The 6,858-nt window shown below is 42.4% G+C and overlaps 1 long non-coding RNA gene across 1 annotated transcript; it reads right to left on the minus strand.

The window, feature by feature from the left end:
- Positions 1-754: 754 nt before the first annotated feature.
- Positions 755-6,357, minus strand: FAM197Y5 (family with sequence similarity 197 Y-linked member 5). The gene is made up of 4 exons (NR_046300.1): positions 6,256-6,357; positions 6,024-6,169; positions 4,370-4,528; positions 755-814 (listed from the first exon to the last, which is right to left on the minus strand). It is a non-coding gene; the product is annotated as a family with sequence similarity 197 Y-linked member 5 (long non-coding RNA).

The raw sequence follows: 6,858 nt of genomic DNA on the forward strand, positions 1-6,858 counted from the left end.
ATCTTTTTTTACCTGAAAATATCTGATGAGCATAGACGTATGCTATATACAGGAAGATATTGTACATTAACAACATACCATCACTGCCACTCAATAATAGGTATCCCAAACCTTTGAGCCAAACTGAGCTCAGGTGCTCCCACAAACCAAGCTTTTCCCTCCACAGATTTCTTATGTCAAAAAGCCACAACTCCAGGCCAGGCTTCGTGGCTCTTGTTGTAATTTCTACATTTTGGGAGGCCGAGGTTGGTGGGTCACTTGAGGTCAGGAGTTGGAGACCAGCATGGGCAACATGGCAAAAAGCTGTCTCTACCAAAAATACAAAAATTAGCCAGACCTAGTGGCACTTTCCTGTGGTCCCAGCTACTTGGGAGGCTGAGGTAGGAGAACCACCTGAACATGGGTGGCAGAGATTGTATAGTAAGCCGAGATCAGACTACTGCACTCCAGCCTGGATGACACAGCGAGACCATGACTGAAAAAAGAAAAAAAAAAAATAAAGGCAACTCCACTCGTCCACTGGCTTAGGTAAAAAGTACTGGAGTTGGCTGGGCTCGGTGGCTCACACCTGTATTCCCAGCACTTTGGATTTTGGGAAGCTGAGTCGGGCGGGTCACCTGAGATCTGTAGTAGGAGAGCAGCCTGGCCAACATGGTGAAGCCTGGCTTCTACTAAAAATACAAAACATTAGCTGAGCGTGGTGATGCATGCTTGTAATCCCAGCTACTGCAGAGGCTGAACCTGGGAGGCGGAGGATGTGTTGAGCTGAGATCCTGCCACTGCGCTCCAGCCTGGTCTACAGAGCGAGAGTACCCTGTGAGAAACAAAGGTGAAGAGAACAAGAAAAAAAAAATGAGAAAAATAAGACCCACTGCAAAAGGTTGCCACAGAAAAGATTAAACATTTCAGCAACTTCTATCTTCTGTCATGGAAGCCAAGGTTATTTGGACCAAACCTCCTGTCTTAGTTCATTTTCACGCTGCTGAAGAAGACATACCTGAAACTGGGAATAAAAGGAGGTTTAATTGGACTGACAGTTCCACATGGCTGTGGAGGCCTCAGAATCATGGTATACGAATAAAGGCACTTCTTACATGGCAATGCCAAGAGAGAATGAGGAAGAACCTGAGGCAGAAACCCCTGAAAAACCCATCAGATCCCGTGAGACTTCTTCACTGTCACAAGAATAGCATGAGAAAGACCGACCCCCATGATTCAATTACCTCCCCCTGGGTCCCACCCGCAACACGAGGGAATTCTGGGAGATACAATTGAAGCTGAGATTTGAATGGAGACACACCAAACCATGTCACTTCCCAAACAATTAAAAATTCCCAATAGAAGAAGCATTAATTATATCAAAAAGTGGTGGACCAAGAAGGAACTATTAGCCTCATATCTCAAGAAAGACTCCAGTCAAGGCCTAGGGACTACTCATGAAAAGAGTTTAATAGCCGACTCTCTCCCAGTGGATCTGGATTCCACCGGACTGTATCTTCACAGTAAGGGTGAAACAGAAGCAAACCCATTCCTATTTCCAAGCTCAAGGAACTTTGGTCAAAGTTCTCTTGGAGCTGAGCAGAACAAGGAGGCAAACAGAAAAGATTTGTGTCCCTAAGAAGTCATGGCCACAGGCTGGCTATCACACAGATTGTCAAGCCAGTTCCATATTGCATGGGTATTACAGAAAATCTCAAAACATAAATTTGTGTGTGGGTTGTCCCAGAGTAGCAGGATCTGGCAGAAGGAAATTTCCTTCTAACCCTCAAAGAATCCACATAAATCTTGTTACATTTGGGATTTTACGATTTGCTTCAGGAATGAGAATGGCCTTAATTTTCATATCTTTTTCTACACTCAGTTTATGTCTTGTTGGCGTCAAAGTTCTGCTTGCTTCACACAATGAGTTTAGGATTTTCCCTTTTTTATTCTATAGAATTCTTCATATATATTGAAATGCTCTGCCTGGGGAAAAAAATCTGAGCCTAGCGTTTTATCTCTAGGAAGAATCCTTTATTTCCTTGAACATTTATGAGACTATACAGATTATATATGTCTTCTTGTATCAATTTTACTAAGCTATATACATAGCTTATGTTTATATATTATATATATAAATGTAAGATACAAATATAAAAATTATGTATAAATATGAAAATATATATAGAAAGCGATATATATGTCTATATATATAGACAGATTATAAATATCTGTCTATTTGACCTAAGTTTTCAAATTTGTAGGTTAAGGTGTTAACGATATTTCCTTATTAGCTTCTTAATCTATGCTGTATCTATGGTTGTGTACCTTTTAAATTCTTAGTTTTATCTATGTTTTCTCCCTTTTTTTCTAAACTTGACTGACGGTTGCATCATTTATTATATTTCTCCAACAAGCAAAGGTTAGCTTTGTATGTTTTACTAATTTTGTCTACATCATTATTCCCACACTTTAGTTTTTCAGAATTGATTCTGTTGTTTCTTTTCTAATTCTTTATTGAAATATCTAGTACATTAATTTTCAAGTTATTAGAGAAATATTTGTCTGTAAACTCCTATTGTAATATCACTTTTCTTGCTACTCACAGATTTAATCTTTAATATTGGCGGTATCATTGAGTTCTAAGTACATTTCAATTCCTAGTATGATAATCTATGAATTGCTGAGAAATAGTGTTTACAATTTTGTTGTTCTATTTCCACTTAAGTTTATTTTTACTTCTGCTAACTCAATTGAAAATTCTTTACTAATTTTTAAAATCCTTGAACCCAAGAGATGGAGGTTGCAGTGAGCTGAGATCAGGCCACTGCATTCCAGACTGAGTGACAGAGTGGAACGAGATTTCAAAACAAAACAAAACAAAACAAAACAAAACAAAACAGTCACTGGAAAGATAATAAAATACATAAATGTGGGATGTAATATGTAATCGTGATAAAATAAACTGGATTTTTTGTATAAGTTATACATATAAATGTAATGCCAAGACACTGATAAGACAACTCATGGTCTTATCTCAATACTTAGTGTCTTCATGTAACATATGTCCTTTAGGATAGTTATAGTCCGTTTTCTTTCCAGGAGAGACAGATGAGAATGCAGAAATGTTAAAGTGCAAGGGACGGAAGCTTCCAGCTGTGCCCACCTGTAACCTGACGTAGACAGTTCCACCGTTTGCTTCATTAATCATGCCAAAGGCTCTAATGCAAATGTGGTACAGAGTCACATGTTTTTGTATCTACATGATAGAAACTATAACTTCATCCCTATATAGAAGGGTATATAGCATATGCCTCAGTGATAAATATAAGTGAATCATTGATCAGTAGGAAACCATTTTAAAAGTCTTTCATAACAGAACAAAATCCCTGAAAACATTTTCTTCTCAATCTCTGAGTTTTCTTACACGGCTTATGAATCTCTAGCCATACTAAAGAGATAGTATGCTGCTCTTCCCACAAATTATTCATTGTATATAATTCCTGTAATCTAATAACAGTACCTTTACACCTCAGGGTTTAAAATGACTCCAACCTTTTTCTGTTTCTCCAATTAAAATAACTTTTTTAAGGTTTAATCTTCAGTAATTTTTTGTAGTAATATTTTTGAAGGTATTTGACCAGGATGATTTGCTTATATACCTACCTGACGTCTCCCTTTCTTCTGAATACATATTTTATTACCCACCTATTAGATCTAAGTTTAAGAAGTTGGAATAGGGATTTAAATCTAAATTCTACATTTGAATTTACAGGAGTCAGCGAGTCCGGGAAGTGCCTTTATGCACAGACCAATATCTGGCAATGGCACTAGGAGACAAATAAGCTTTACCAGTCTCAAAGCCCTGGCTACTACAGTGAATCCACCCTTCTCCTGGATCTTATCTACTTCAGCAAAAGAAGGCCACCCACTAAACCAGGCCCTTGTACTTTGGGTGGAAACTCCTAAGTCCTCTAGTCTCCTCAAACAGACAGCCAGGCTGCCAATTTCCACAATAATAATTTCTATAGCACTGAGTCTTTGGTAGCCTTGTAACTATAGCTACTGATGCTACAGTCTGGTCCCTGTATGATAAAACACCAGAGCAACAGAAACAAAAATATTGACTGAAGCCTTCTAAAATCTCTCTAAATATACCTTCAATAAATATGGTTTTTTTTACAGAACGACTGCTTTCAGCTTCCTGAACTAACGCTTGGCCTTCGCTAGTTGTCACTGTTGAAATTGATTCAAAAGTGTACATTTAACATGAAAGTCAACACAGAATTTCATGTGTCAGCAACTAAAATTTTCAAAATGTTGCAAAATACAAATGTGAAACTGTATTTGTGAAATTTACCATTCATTGAAATTATATTTTCATACCTACCCAGGCACAGAATTTTTTATAACTGTCTGCATGTTCTCCTCATGTGGGGGAAAAGCAGCATCAGCAGGCAGAGGAATCCTTTGAAGCTGGAGGGAGAGGTTGCAGTGATCTGAGAGTTTGCCACTTGACTGCAGCCTGGATGACACAGTGAGACTCCAACTGAAAAGAAACAAACACACACACACACACACACACACACACACACCCCCAAAATTGATAAGTAAAAAAAAAATCCATATTCGAAAACATGCTCACAGGCTAACTCCCATATCTAACACACACACACACACACACACACACACACACACACACACAATTCCTTGAAAACGAAAGTTCCACAAGGGCAAAACAAGAAAACAAATTTAACACCCCCCAAAGAAAGTACAAAGAGTAACCTCAAAAGAACCGCAGGGGAAAACAATTCAAAATTTACAAGTATCTACCCTAAAAGAAGCTGAAAGTCCCTCAAAAACTTTCCAGAGGCCATGTCCTTGTATTACAAAAATGATCATAAAAACTGGCAGGAGTAGACGAATAGAAATGCATCTTAAAACTTGCTAAACCCTTCAAGTCTCCCATAAGAATTGTAATGGAAAATGGATCGGTCGGCAGCTTTTTCCATACAATTATGAACAAATTATATTTCTTCATACATAGATTTGTTTTTTCAATATTCTAAGGAATTAACTTTTATATTAATAGTAGGTGATGTAAGAAAGCAGGCCTTTATCAAGATAACTGACACTGGATGTCCATACCATTACTCAGGTGGGCCTTAATTCCCAGCCAGGTTCCCTCCCTGGACACACACTGAAGGTCCCCAGCCATTTGGCAATCTCTTCACATTCCCAGCCCTGGAGGTAGCCCTAAAATACATGTACCTGAAGAAAATAAAACATTGCCTCACACTGGAGCCCAGTGTGGTCCTCCAGATTCCGTGTGAGGTGGACTAACTTATATGGGAAGGCAGGGCAGCGGGAGTGAGGATGGCAGAGAGGATTACACATGTCAAGGCAGCCGGGGTCATGGAAACAAAACATGACTGGCCTGGGAGAAACACTGTGAAAGGACACAGACCTAGGTGGGCCTCAGGTGGACATCCTCGTGGAGAAAAAGGGGGCCCTGGTTGATCTCAAAATGAGCCCCAGGTGGTAGCAGGTCTTACCGCAGGGCAGGGAGCTGGCGAGTAATGATGAGACAGCTATCCCTTAAGCCCTGCTTGTCACCCACTGACTTTAGCCACATATGCATCATAGTGGCTTAAGGTGCCCCGATCCTGAAATGTGGGTGTTACATGTCCCTGATGGGCCTCTCTCCCCCAACCCACGGATTGCCTGGGATTGCTCACTGCAGTCTCCTCCCGGATCCTTGGGTTCTCCATGTGGGGCCCAGATCCAGGTCAAAAGGCCTCTCAGTTCCCAGCCCTTCCCAGCCCTAGCTGCTCGCCTGGCCTCCTCTCTGTTCCGCCTCTAGGGCTGACCCTCTCTCCATGGGATAGAACTGCAATGGATTGAGCCATAGGCCCTGGCTGATGATCTAGGGGACTGCAGAAGTGGGTCCAGGACAGTTCAGGTGACAGTTCAAAGCCAATTCCCCAGAGACCAAGGAATGACCAGCTAGGTCCTTTCCCATGATGCCCCACGGCGAACCCCACCTCAGCAATCCTGCCAAAACCCGGGCAGTCATGTTCAGCCAAACAGCTGAATGAGCTCAGGTAGGAGGTGTACTGCCTGCAGCTGGAGGCTTGACCTTCGTGATCCCAGAACCGCTGGACTGCAGTGGAATGAGACACCCTGTAGCCTGCAGGGAGAGGAGTCAGGAAGGTTCATGCCAGTCCCACCCTCCCACACACCAGCTCCCCTACCATGCTGGGAGGCATTCCTTACCGAGGATGCCAACACAGTGCTCCTTCATGATGATTTCACTGTGGAAATAAAGGTTGGGATGAAAGGAAATCATCCTGCCACCGGTAACCGGGATGGCTGAGTTCCTCCACCTGCCGGATCAAGGAGAAAGAGGATGGATTCAATGGGACCATCTCAACTAGCTGGGCTGAGGTGGCCTACTAGCTGTAGTGAACCATGAGTTTCCCCTTCCCAGCTCTCCCACTGAGACAACCCTGGTCCCCAGGGGGACCTCAAACTGACTCAGACACTGGACTCCTCCCACAGACCCAGGCTCCCCAGCCTGACCTGCAAATCCATCACGTAGCAAAGCAGGACTTCCGCATGCTTTCCGACCCACGCCGACATCTCGTGTGCCAAACAATCTACCTCTGCGCAAGAACTCTCCAGAGGATTGGGTGGGCAAGCCTCGTGACGCCTTGCAATTTCGCAAGAACACAGACAATGTGGAACAGGGCCATCTCCCAGACATTTGGCCAGTCACCCTTCATTGTTGGCCCTCTATCTCTGTCTGGCGAGGAGGCAACGCCACAACTGTGGTGGTTTTTGGAGTGGGTGGACCCGGCCAAGACGGCCTGGGCTGAC

This window comes from Homo sapiens, chromosome Y, assembly GCF_000001405.40.
Source record: "Homo sapiens chromosome Y, GRCh38.p14 Primary Assembly".
In the NCBI taxonomy this organism is placed as follows: domain Eukaryota; kingdom Metazoa; phylum Chordata; class Mammalia; order Primates; family Hominidae; genus Homo; species Homo sapiens.